The 12,473-nt window shown below is 48.2% G+C and overlaps 1 protein-coding gene across 3 annotated transcripts in view, besides 3 other annotated features; it reads left to right on the forward strand.

Moving 5' to 3' along the window:
- Positions 1-12,473, forward strand: part of THSD4 (thrombospondin type 1 domain containing 4) — a 686,490-nt gene that overhangs the window by 92,730 nt on the left and 581,287 nt on the right. The window lies entirely within an intron of this gene.
- Positions 5,707-6,001: a silencer, noted in NCBI's record as "tiled region #1499; K562 Repressive non-DNase unmatched - State 13:Ctcf". NCBI's record gives its function as "represses a minimal TATA promoter and a strong SV40 promoter by Sharpr-MPRA in K562 cells {active_cell/tissue: K562}" and the evidence as "EXISTENCE:reporter gene assay evidence [ECO:0000049][PMID:27701403]".
- Positions 9,582-10,082: an enhancer, noted in NCBI's record as "H3K4me1 hESC enhancer chr15:71491544-71492044 (GRCh37/hg19 assembly coordinates)". NCBI's record gives its function as "activates a minimal SCP1, AML or CMV promoter by ChIP-STARR-seq in primed H9 embryonic stem cells {active_cell/tissue: H9 hESC(primed)}" and the evidence as "EXISTENCE:reporter gene assay evidence [ECO:0000049][PMID:30033119]".
- Positions 10,083-10,583: an enhancer, noted in NCBI's record as "H3K4me1 hESC enhancer chr15:71492045-71492545 (GRCh37/hg19 assembly coordinates)". NCBI's record gives its function as "activates a minimal SCP1, AML or CMV promoter by ChIP-STARR-seq in primed H9 embryonic stem cells {active_cell/tissue: H9 hESC(primed)}" and the evidence as "EXISTENCE:reporter gene assay evidence [ECO:0000049][PMID:30033119]".

A 12,473-nucleotide genomic window follows, 5' to 3' on the forward strand; every position in this document is an offset into this window, starting at 1 on the left:
CGCGCCACTGCACTCCAGTCTGGGCGACAGAGCAAGACTCCGTCTCAAAAAAAAAAAAATACATGTTTCTGGGCTCTGTGCCCCAAATGTTCTGTTTTAGTGGCTCCTGGTGGAGCTTAAGAATCTGTGCATTGTTTTTTTAAGTCCGCTAGAGTAATAGTTCTTCAACCACAGTATGTATCCATTGTTAAAACACAGATTCTGGGCTTCCACCCCTTGAGTGTCTGATGCAGGAGGCCTCTGGTGGGCCTAAGCATTGCATTCCATACTGCTACTCTGAGGAGGATACTCAGAACTGCTGCGGGAGAGGCTGCTGATGCTCATCCCGCCCACGCACTGCTGGGGTGGAAGGCTCCTGGACTCTGCATGCTCAGATGGTTTGAGTCTATTTTGTGGAGGGCATGCTAGGATTAGAAGAGCTAGACCCGGGATGGCTACATATGAGCCATCCCCCCTTCCTCGAAACCTGGGGTAGACATCATTTACTGACCACTGTGCTCTTTTTAACTGAGTCCTGGCTCAAGGTCCCTCTCATCTCTCTGTAGCCTGCCCATACCAATCAAATGGTGTTGGCTCACAAGCCAAACCTTTTATTGTTTGCTAAGCTAGACATTCTAACCGACACTTCCAAAATCAGTCATTGAAAAATTCTGTTTGTTTGTGGAACGTGTGCCTTAATTGTTCATGAGAGGGAACCCCCTGGGGAGTGGTTCTTGACATTGGCTGCACATTAGAATCACCTAGGAAATTCAAAACAAAAAGAAAACCAGACTATTGGGCTCCCTTCCATGTCTGAGGTGGGCTCCAGCTGCTAGCAGCTTTATGAGCATTACAGGTGATTCTAAGGTACGGTTAGGGCTGACAGCTATCGGACTGAGGGGGTTGCTAGAAGCTGTGCAAACTCTAAAACTAGTTGCTAACTCCTGTCCTGTCGCTGAAGATTCCCCTTGCAGAGCATCCCCTTTTCTTCTATGCATCTCTTTATTTTTCTGACAAACAGAATAGAAAGGAGAAGCAGCCAAAGGCCTGTTGACACCATTTTTGTCTCAGAGGCTTCCTGACAGGAGGCTGAAATGGGTGGTAGCCACTGTCCTAGAATAGCTAGAAAGGAACCATTTTTCTGGAGCAGTTCCCAAAAAATTCGTCTCTAACAGCAGAAGGTGTCACTCCCCTCGCTTTCTTACCTTTTGTGAATTTTGGAATGCAGAAGGTCCCATCGAGAGGAAACGTTTTCACACAGAGACTCCCCAACTCTCAGCCCCATGGTTTTCCTCTCTGCTCAGTGCCAGCCCTCCCAAATTTAGACTCGCGTCCCCCTTCATGGCTGCCACTCATGCTTTACTAAATTGCTCTTTGTGGAAGTCACCAACACACCCTAAACAGCAATTCTTCTCTTTGTTCTCCCTGAATCATCCGACTCTGTTGATCACTCTCTCTGTTCCTGGGAACGTAATTTTTCTGCTTCCTCTCCATTCCTTCTCTGTGTCCTTTACTAACCTCTTTGCCTTCTCCTGCTCCTTAGTGGGAGCATTTCCCCAGGGCCACCATCTTTGTCCCATAGCACTTTTCTACACACCGTCCTTCCCCTGGGATCCCTTCCCCAGATCCATGGCACAGGTCTGACTGATGTTCTGAGTCCCAGTCTCCCAACAGTGTCTGTAGAACTTCTTGTGCCCACCAAATTGGCCCTGTCTCTGGACTCCCCTATTTTTCTTCTGGGCACCAGTGTTTATGCTGATCTCCTAGACCTGGGCTGTTGGTCGCATTAAACTCTGTTATCCGGTTCATGTCTGGTTTGCCTTTCCTTTGTGCTGCCTCTCACATTGGCCATTCGTGCCTTTGCCCATCTGTTAATTATTTGCTGCGTGCCAGGCATAGTGCTAAGTACATCTGTTATTCTACTTAAACTTCACAGCAACCTTATGAATCAGTAGGCAGGATTATTATCATCCCTGTTTTATCTCTGAGGAGACAGCCTTTGAGATGGATAGGAACCTTGGCTGACTAGTGGTGGAACAGAAATTCAAGCTCATACTGAGCCCCTGAGCTCTCACTCTTCAGTGCTGTACTTGGTTGTTCCCTCCTTGCCGCAGCCCACTGTTGCAATCTCATCTCCTTTTACCCTTCCACATATGAGTCGGCCCCACATGAACCGGTTTACTCCCAGGTCTCCGGGTCTCTTCATTCTTTTCCTCCTCTATATTTTTGCCCAAATCCTTGGTGATATCTGATACCCCAAGGGCAGCACCACCTCCTATGCTTTGCCTTCTTCTTCTTCTTCTTTTTTTTTTTTTTTTGAGATGGAATCTCACTCTGTCACCTGGGCTGGAGTGTAGTGGCACGATCTCAGCTCACTGCAACCTCCGCCTCCCAGGTTGAAGCGATTCTCCTGTCTCAGCCTCCTGAGTACCTGGGATTACAGGTGCCCACCACTATGCCCAGCTAATTTTTTGTATTTTTAGTAGAGACGGGGTTTCACCATGTTGGACAGGCTAGTCTTGAACTCCTTACCTTGTGATTTGCCCACCTCAGCCTCCCAAAATACTGGGATTACAGGTGTGAGCCACCGCACCTGGCCTTCTTGACCTTTCCAAACTGTCCAAATTCCAAAAGCCTTTTTTTGATGTGTACTGTCTTGTGTTTTAAATTCCTTTGGTGGATTTATTTATTTATTTATTTATTGAGATGAAGCTCTGTCACCCAGGCTGGTGTGCAGTGGAGCCATCTCAGCTCACTGCAGCCTCCACCTCCCAGGTTCAAGTGATTCTCTTGCCTCAAGTACCCGAGTGGCTGGGATTACAGATGTGCGCCAACACGCCTGGATAATTTTTGTATTTTTAGTAGAGGCAGGGTTTCACCATGTTGGCCAGGCCAGTCTTGAACTCCTGGCCTCAAGTCTGCTTGCCTTGGCCTCCCAACGTGTTGGGATTACAGGTGTGAACCACCGCGCTTGGCTCCTTTGGTGAATTTTGAAGTGAACCTGTTCTCGACAGTTTTTTTCCAGGTATTTCAGCATTATTCTCCTAGACGGGTTATAAACTCTTTAGGATAGGAACTAGACTTATTTCAGTGTCCTGCAGTTCCTAGCATGCTTCCTTGCTAGAGCTGACCTTCCTAGAGTTGACTTATTTTGACTTCATACTCTTGTCCATGACAACTGTCTGTGTGCAGGACAATATGAATAAGGATGTGAGATGCTGCCCTACCCTCGGGGAGCTGTTCTGCTAAGGTGCCCGGATTCCCTAACAGCCCTCTGCACAGCTGTAATCTCTTGTTAGATTAGTTTTCCATCCTTCATGGGAATCGTTTTTCTTCCTACGTTTCTGTTTTTAAAGTTTGCATAAAATGGAGACTTGGCTGCACACCAGGGAGGTTTAGGAGAGAAATGAGCAGTGGGACCTCCCCAGCCAAACCTGGCTGCAAACCGCTGACTGCACAGGAATACGAATGACTTCTAGTGGGATGGGCGGGGATCCTGGGGGGATGCTCTTCATTCCTGCTTTTGATCAGGAGCTGGGCCAGCTTTGGAAATCTGAGTGTTGGCACAACTCTCAAATGGTCCTGCTGCTGTTATTGTCTGGGGTTTCTTACTGGGCGTCCACACTCAGAAAGGACCCCCTCTTTCCTGTAAGCTTGCTTCTCACTGACTGGCACAGCTTGGTGATTGGGGTGGTGGTAGAGACGTGGGCCATACGGAACTAGGAGCATAATTTTCACAAGCACTTAAACTTGAACAGAACAAGATTAGCAATATTAACACGCATTACACTGAGATATGACGCACAGGGAAATACCTCTAGGTACCCTTGGGATAACTGTAATGATACATGACTTAGGATTTCCAGATCCTCCTAGCTGCTTGGACTGTGGTTCCAGGCCCAGGTCACAGAACCTTGGTTACCTAAAGGAAGAATGGCCAGGGTTGGTGATATGGTTTGGCCCCCATCCATATCTCATCTTGAATTATAGCTCCCATAATTCCCACGTGCTGTGGGAGGGACCCGGTAGAGATCATTGAATCATGGGGGTGGTTCCCCCATACTGTTCTCACGGTAGTGAATAAGTCTCATGAGATCTGATGGTTTTTCTTTTCTTTTTTTTTGAGACGGAGTCTCGCTCTGTTGCCCAGGCAGGAGTGCAGTGGCGTGATCTCGGCTCTCTGCAAGCTCCGCCTCCCGGGTTCACACCATTCTCCTGCCTCAGCCTCCCTAGTCCCCCCTGGGACTACAGGCGCCCGCCGCCACGCCCAGCTAATTTTTTTGTATTTTTAGTAGAGACGGGGTTTCACCGTGTTAGCCAGGATGATCTCGATCTCCTGACCCCATGATCTGCCCGCCTCCGCCTCCCAAAGTGCTGGGATTACAGGCGTGAGCCACCGCGCCCGGCCTGAGATCTGATGGTTTTATAAGGGGCTTCCCCTTTCACTTGGCTCTCACTCTCTCTTGCCTGCTGCCATGTAAGATGTGCCTTTATCCTTCTGCCATGATTGTGAGGCCTTCCCAGCCACGTGGTACTGTGAGTCTGTTAAACCTCTTTTTCTTCATAAATTCCCAGTCTCGGGTATGTCTTTATCAGCAGCTTTAAAAAGGACTAATGCAGTTGGTGAGAATATGGAAGTACAGTCTAGCTATGTTCTGTTTCTTCTGTCCAATAGATGACAGAAACAGATGCCTCCATCTGTTTTCACAAACCGAGGTTGCTCTTCTTGCCACTGAGTAGAAGTTGCCTCCTCCAGCTTTGCCCCAGCCACCTGCTACTGAGAAGCCCAGCCCACTCAAGTCCTTGGTACTAAGGGCACTGCGGAGGGGTCTGGAGATAGTTTGCCATTTCCACACTCAGGGTCGGGGCATGGATTTGGCCCCTCTGGGCACCTGTGGGAGTGTAAGGGTATAATTTCTCTAGTGACCCCATCTCATGTGGCCTGTTGCCCTCCTGGGCCCGGTTCCTACGTGTCACTCATTCTCTTACCGAAGACAAGGCTTGACCTTGCATGCAGGTCCCATTTGGAGAGGCCCCTACAAATTCATTTAGATCCTACCAGTCCCATCTCCAAAGCAGCCCCTGGTTCATGATATCCCTTAAGTGCCTCAAAAACTATGCATAACTCTGGCTTCTGGACACCAGCTGTTCCTGGTCTTCAGTGCACATTCACTTCGGTGGCTCCCACCTGCACTGTTGGATTGTAAGACACAGCCCATGGCTCTTCTGCAGAGGAATGAAAACTACACATAGTTATACCTTGTGGGATGTTACATCTGGAATTCCAGTTGGAGAAGCTGCCCTGGGAAAGTCGGCGGCCACCAGAGAAGCAGGAACAGGAATGAAGCACAGCCTGGTGTTCCGAAGCCCAGCACGGGGCTGGGACCATGTCTGTCATAGTCCACCATGTGGAATGGGCCCTCCACACTCTCACTAGGGGCTGTTTTTCCAAATCAGTGAATATGTATCCACTACTTTTATGGGCAAGGCCTCGTGTTAATTCATTGTAGAGGGTAGAAAAGCAATAATGTTTGGGAAGGTACGTAACTGTACTCAGTCTACGGGAGACATTAAGAAATATTAAAATCTATAGAGATGTATATGCATCCCTATATGGGTTGTTTTCCATCCCAAAATATTAAAAGAGGATGAAGTCAAAATAAGTCAATCCTAGGAAGGGCAACTCTAGCATATATAAAAAGGCAATGGAGAAATGTTGAGTTTAGCAAAAGACAACCTCTCTGCTGGGATGCAGAGTGGTTTGGGATGGCAGAAATGGGAAAAGTCCAGTAGATGGAGCCAGGGAGGAAGGACATTTATCTTGTCACTAGAAGGGTGTAGTGGGAAGGTGAGAATGAATGAGGTTTTCTGACAATACCAAGTGGACCCCTCTAGGGGGCACAGAAGGAATTTGTGTTTGTAGATTGGAGGTAGGGGGTGGCCAGGGGAGGGCCAATAACAAGTCCAGTTAAAAAGGCAGGTTGAGTCCATACTAGAGAGACCTTAGATACCAGGTTAGGCGAGATAGACTTTATCCTTCTGGTACTGAGGATCCACTGAAGCCCTTCGAGCTAAGGGGGAGACACTGATAAAAGTGGTATTGTCGGAGGGTTGCTCTGGAGGTGTGTGTTGGGTGGATGGGGTTGGGGGAAAGACTGGTGGCAGGGAGACCACCTGGGAGTCATAATAATACTGGTGATAGCTACCAATTATTGAGCATTCCCTACATGCAGGACACTGTACAATGTGATATCTGTCATATTCAATAACCTGCAAGCTGAGTACACTTGACCAATGAGGAAACTAAGGCTTATTCATGTTGAATAACCACTGCATCCACCCATTTGTGTTGCTATAACAAAATGCCTGAGACTGGGTAGTTTATAAAGGACAGAAACTTATTTCTTACAGTTCTGGGGGCTGAAAAGTCCAAGTTCCAGGTGCTAGCATCAGGTGAGGGCCTTCTTGCTGCATCCTCACATAGTGGAAAGCAGAAGGGCAAAAGGGCCGACTGCTGAGTCCTCACAGGGCAGAAGAGCAAGCCAGCTGAAGGTGGCAGAAGCCTCTTTTATAAGGCCTTTAATCCCATTCATGAGGGAGGGATCTTCAAGACCTAATTACCTCCTAGAGGCCCCACTTCTTAATATTATCACATTGGCAGCACCTGAATTTTGAAGGAGACACATTGAAACCATAGCAGCCACCCAGAGTCCCAGAGCTTATAAATCACAGAACCAGCGTTTGAACTCAGGACTGCTTGCTTTCAAAGCCAGGCTATAGTAGGTAAAGTTTTCCACTAAGAACTGTACGATCCAAATTAGGGGAATTATAATCAAATTGAAAAAGAGAGATTATTGCAAGAATCCAGAAGACTCGATAACTGACCAGGTTGGAGGAGTGAAGGAGACAGAGAGAGAAAAAGAATGACTCCACTTTGTAGCTGTGGCTTTAGGGACAGTGGCAGTATTGCCACCAGACACCAAGTATCATAGGAGGAGGTGCTCTTGAGTGGGTCAGATGAGAAGATAGTGAGATGAGTTTCAGAAATGTGGCAATCAAGATGGTGGCAGAAATGCCAGGCAGCTATTGTCAGTCATATTCTCTGGCTTACATTCTAGACAAGCTGTGAGCATGGGCAAGCAGGAACACGGGAAAGAGAAAGCTTCTGGTGTTAGGGGGAGATTCTGGAGGAAGTAAAATGAGGAATAGCAGCAGAAGCAGCTGTCAGAGAGGCAGGGAGAGGAGGAAGATGGCATCATGGTATGCGTGGCAGAAACCAGTGGAGGAGTTGGTTCCAGGTGGATTGTCAAGACTGCCATACATTTCAGGGAAGTCAAAGCTAGGACTCCTGCATGAAGGTGGAAGGACTCATTCAACCCACTATGCATTCATTAGGTAGCTTCCATCTGCCTGGCCTTGTATTTGGGCAAGAGAAAGAGAAAAACAAGTCTCTCTGCTCTTGAAAGCCCCAGGAAACCTTCTTAAAACAGACCTGGGTCGCAACGTGCCCTTCAGCTTAGTGCAACAGAACTATTCTCTGAGCTTCTGTTTCCTCTACAAACCTAATGCGACCTGCCCCACAGGGTTATCCTGGGAATCAGGGCTGATGCATGGCCAACACTCAGCACAGTACCTAGAGTGTGATAGCTCGATTATGCTTAGAACCCATAAGGACAAATAAGAGAGGAAAGGACTGTTTCTGGGGCCTTCCTGCCAGATGCAGGGAAGCCTGCCTTCCTTGGAAGTGGCCATCTCTTCAATGGTTTGGGCAGTTCAGTCCATCACCCTTGATTTCTGCTGCCTCATGTGGCTTTTCAGTACTAAAAAGAATCTCCTGTTTCTAGAACTCATGCCTTAAATGTGTTTTGAAGCCCAGATGTTCCAACAGTGCTCCCTTTCACTTTCATTTCCCAAGTTCAACGACCAGACCCCCTTCCACAAGTTGGTAGAGCTCTCATTTGTCATCGTGGGAAAGCACCCAGTGTGCTTCCTGGCAGATGAGAGGGTCCCCAGGCTGCTCCAAGGCTTAGGACAGCAGAGTGAGCTCCGCTGGCTGAACTCGGTGCTCCATGGGCTGTGTGGATTGGCCTTTGTTCTCCAAGGGCCACCAAGAAGAAGGTCGCATCTGCTGCCCCCACTGGACTGTCAGGTTCTCTGTTTCTCTGCCTGAGGGTCCCACTGAATACCTGCTGCCTGTCTGCCCCCTGAATATCCTTACTGGGCTCTGGGAAGTGAGCAAGTGGTTATAGGGTGCTGGCCCTATGTGTGTTTGGCACTCTTGGGTGATTGGGGTATGGGGATGGGGTTGATGCCACAAATGGAAAGGCTCTCAGAGGAATATACATGTGTGGCTTAGAAGCTGGAGAATGCAGTCAGGCATGGTGGCTCATGCTTATAATCCCAACACTTTGGGAGGTCAAGGTGGGAGGTTCACTTGAGCTCAGGAGTGTGCGACCAGCCTGGACAATATAGTGAGACCCTGTCTCTACGAAAAATAAAAATAAACAAATTGACCAGGCATGGTGCCATGAACCTATAGTCCCAGCTACATGGGAGGTTGAGGCTGGAGGATTGCGTGAGCCCAGGATTTTGAAGCTGCAGTGAGCTATGATCACAGTTGTGCCATTGCACTCCAGCTTGGGCAAGAGAGCAAGACACTGTCTTTAGAGAAAAAAAGGGCTGGAGAATGCGGTGGGGAAAAGAAATCAAAGCAGGAATGGGAAAAGCCAACAAGGTTGTGGTTCCTGAGGCTGGCACAGAAGACTGTGCTGCCCAAATGCCACTTTCTTCACTTGGCTCTTCCTGGCAGGCAGCTCTGTCCCCTTTCTTTGTAGTGAGCCTGTCTTAGGCCTATATCCAGGACACTGAGAATTCTTGCATATCAGGCTGGGAGGACCTTCAGGGGTCACCCATTCCTCCCCTACTCTCTCCTCTTCCTAGTTGAACAGTTGCCTCAGTTTACCCAAATCACTGTCTTAGTGTCACTTCAAGTGTAGCTTTGGCCTAGAGGGTGTTATGGGTCAGAAGGATGCTCAAATCCATCGTAAGGAGGTTGCTAATCTTTCATGGTCTGCCTCCTCCTCCTGGCCAGGTATCCCTGGCATTCAGGAACCCCAGCTGGCATATGTGGGCTCTAGGTAGAGTTAAGTCTTGTAGCCATGCATGTGGGGACACTCCACCATTCACTGAAAGGGATGATCCCTATGTCTTTGAATAAAACTTCACATATAACCCAATTATTGCAAGGGCTCTGCCTCTACCATTTAATGAATCAGAGCGACATTCCTTTTCATCCTACTTGGCCAGCCCTAGTCTGAGTATATTCACAATTTAACTTCATTAATAGCAAGTTTAGTCAACTGGCTTAAGAAGTTCTCCTAATAGTAGATTCCCTGGCAATCCCCTACTGTATATTTTATTAGTGACCTTGTTTAAAAATAGCCTATGTCAACAGCCACTAGTGATGCACCAAGAAGCAAACTGGCCTCCCTGGACTCTGCATGGATGCCACAGCACATTAGAGGCAGACTCAGGGATACCACTCGGGGTCCCCATGTGTCCTCCCACAATCCCATTCCCTTTGGACCGTTTCTTTTTGGATCTTTGCTCCCTATGATTTTGTGCCCCATCCCTTTCCTCCTTTCAGTTTCCGTCCCCTTCCTCCTTTCAATTGCGATGGCCATGCTCTGGGGACTAGATTCTTTTGCTTTTCTCTTCTCTGCACAAGTCAGAACTGGGGCTTTGCAGAGAAGGCTGAGAGGTGTTCAGGACATGCCTGGCTTATCGTAGAGTAGGTTTTCTCACCCTAGACACTGTTGACATTTTGGGCCAGATAACTGTGTGTGTGTGTGGGGGGGGGTGTGTGTGTGTGGTGTGTGTGTGTGGGGTGTGTGTGGTGTGTGTGTGTGTGTGGGGTGTGTGTGGGGTGTGTGGTGTGTGTATGTGTGGTGTGTGTATGTGGTGTGTGTGTAGTGTGTGTGTGTGGGTGTGTGTGATGTATGGTGTGTGTGGTGTGTGGGTGTGTGGTGTGTGTGGTGTGTGTGTGGTGTGTGTGTGTGATGCATGTGTGGAGGGTGTGTGTGTGTGTGGTGTGTGTGGTGTCTGGGTGTGTGGTGTGTGTGTGTAGTGTGTGTGTAGTGTGTGTGGGTGTGTGTGATGTGTGTGGTGTGTGTGGTGTGTGGGTGTGTGCTGTGTGTGTGCTGTGTGTGTGTGATGCACGTGTGGGGTGTGTGTGTGTGTGCTGTGTGTGATGCATGTGTGGGGTGTGTGTGTGTGTGGTGCATGTGTGGTATGTGTGTGTGGTGCATGTGTGGGGTGTGTGTGTGTGTGTGTGTATGGCAGGGTGTCTGAATTGTCTGTTGTCTCCTGGTGGGCAAAACTGCCTCTGGTTGAGAACTGTTGTTCTAGAAGCAGCCACAGTCATAGGTATTTCAGAGGCCTCTGTAGCCATCCCTAGGCTTCTCCTTCAGTCGGGAGTATCAGAGTGCTAGGGGTGGTGGAGAGCATTTTCCAGCGCTCCCTGCACATTCCTGGGCGCAGCATGCTTCCCTTTCATTTTTGTGACTCTTCTTTTAGCCAGAAACCACATTGCTTCTCACATAGGTCTGTTGTTCACCGAGTCATTGTTGGTCCAGACAGGCTGGTCTGCAGCTTCTCTGACTTTGCACCTTATGTTGACTAGGGGGAGGGTGGTGGATGGAGCATGGGACATCCTGAGCTGCTGTCCTGGATTGGCTTCTCACTGGTGGTATGGCTCAGCGTGCTTTGTCTGTAATGTTGGCACTGGATCCTGGTGAGCTTTTCACGTCATCAGATGGTATTATGGCCGAGGACCCTGAAATGCCTGAAGCCTGCTTGTGGGATTCTCAAAGGAAAGAGAATCTGAGAATAGTAGCAAATGGGAAACAAAGTCTGATGTGTCTTGTAATAAGGCACTAGTTATGTTCCTGAGAGGTCTTGGGCTAAATATCAAGTGCTCAAAGCCATTGTTCCGAATAATGGTTCTGAAAAGGGTTAAGTGTTTGAAGGTTTTATACTTGCAGTAACCAAATAGTTTTTTTCTCTATGGATTTAGTTAATGCTTTCAGTGGCCACAAAGTATATTTTAGTAAACTTTATAGGCCATGACCATCATAATCCATTGTTATAATCAATAAAGTATACAATTGAAATAAGATGTGGGGATGCACAGAGTGAAAATACAATGCAACTCCATCCACAATCACCAAGGGCAACAGATGTGTGAGATGCCATATTGGTGGCAAGCCCAAAATGGAGCTGTGCCATGTCTCGCGAGCAGCCGCCTTTCCCATGCCCCAAGCTGGCTTCCCTTTGTGCCCTATATCCATGTGATGGTGGCTGTGCTCACTTATAATCATTCCCATTATACTGAGTTCACAGTAAGACTTACGCTGTGAATCAAATGCCTGGAAACACTATCTGGGTTGGTGCCTAATGACCCCCAGTGCCGACTTCCATTAAAGTCAAGTGTCATGTGTAGCTTGAACTTGAGGCCTAAATAGAGCCTTCTGTCTTCTTTAGGCCCAATGACCAACACTCCCAAGTGGTTGTTTGAAAAAAAAAAGAGATGGAGGACCCCGTGTTGTAGAAGAAAGGGCCAGGAGGATGAGGGCTTTCATAATGGTACTTCTGCTCACCAATAAACATGGTCTATTTGGCCATCTGGGATGCTAAACAGATTAGCGACTCTCCTATGGATAAAATGAGGATGATATTGATCTCACAGGCTCAGGGTGTGGATTAAATGACTTTATGAATGTACTCATGTAGTATTTTTAAGATTAAACACACTGGATCTCAGGCCTCAGACAGCTAGAAAATCCAAAGTTACCTCCCATCTCTCCAAACTGGTACTGCCTGTAACGTGGCAGAATCGGCTTGCCCACGCAGTGCCTCCAAGGGCACCTTTGGTCTCCCATGTAATTGACTGTGAGCATTGGAAATAGCTGTGGTTTTTAATACAGTGATATTTCCTCTTCAGGGACTCCAGCCCCTCGTCTAGTTTCAACAACTGCTAGCTCAGTCCCAAGGCGTGGTTCTTGTTTCTTCCTTGTCTAATGGAGAGAGTGTTTGCATTTGCACAGGGTTTTTAATGGGCTGTAAGCTGTTGGCTCTGAGAGGGATTCTTGGCTCGGAGCCAGGGGGACTTGAAATGTTTGGGGAAGCCTAGGAGGGCTGCTGAGAGAGGCTCCTTTCTGCTGTACATATGGTTCACGTCGACATGGGCAGAAGGCAAGAGGAGCCCGCCTTGGTAGCACAGGCACTGCTGCAGTGCTCAGTTCTTTGCCAGAGCAAGGAATCTGGCCTGGGAAACTTCTTCTGTGAATAGCTGGGGCCAGAAGGTTCAGATCAAGCCAAAGATCTGTTAAGAGGGGCCCCTTTTTCTCATGGCAGAAATAGTGGTGGGAGCTCCCAATTTGGCTGTTGGTGGTGGTCTGGACCGTAGAGTTCTTGAGATGGAAGTAATTTCCAGA

This window comes from Homo sapiens, chromosome 15 (assembly GCF_000001405.40).
Source record: "Homo sapiens chromosome 15, GRCh38.p14 Primary Assembly".
Classification (NCBI taxonomy): Eukaryota; Metazoa; Chordata; class Mammalia; order Primates; family Hominidae; genus Homo; species Homo sapiens.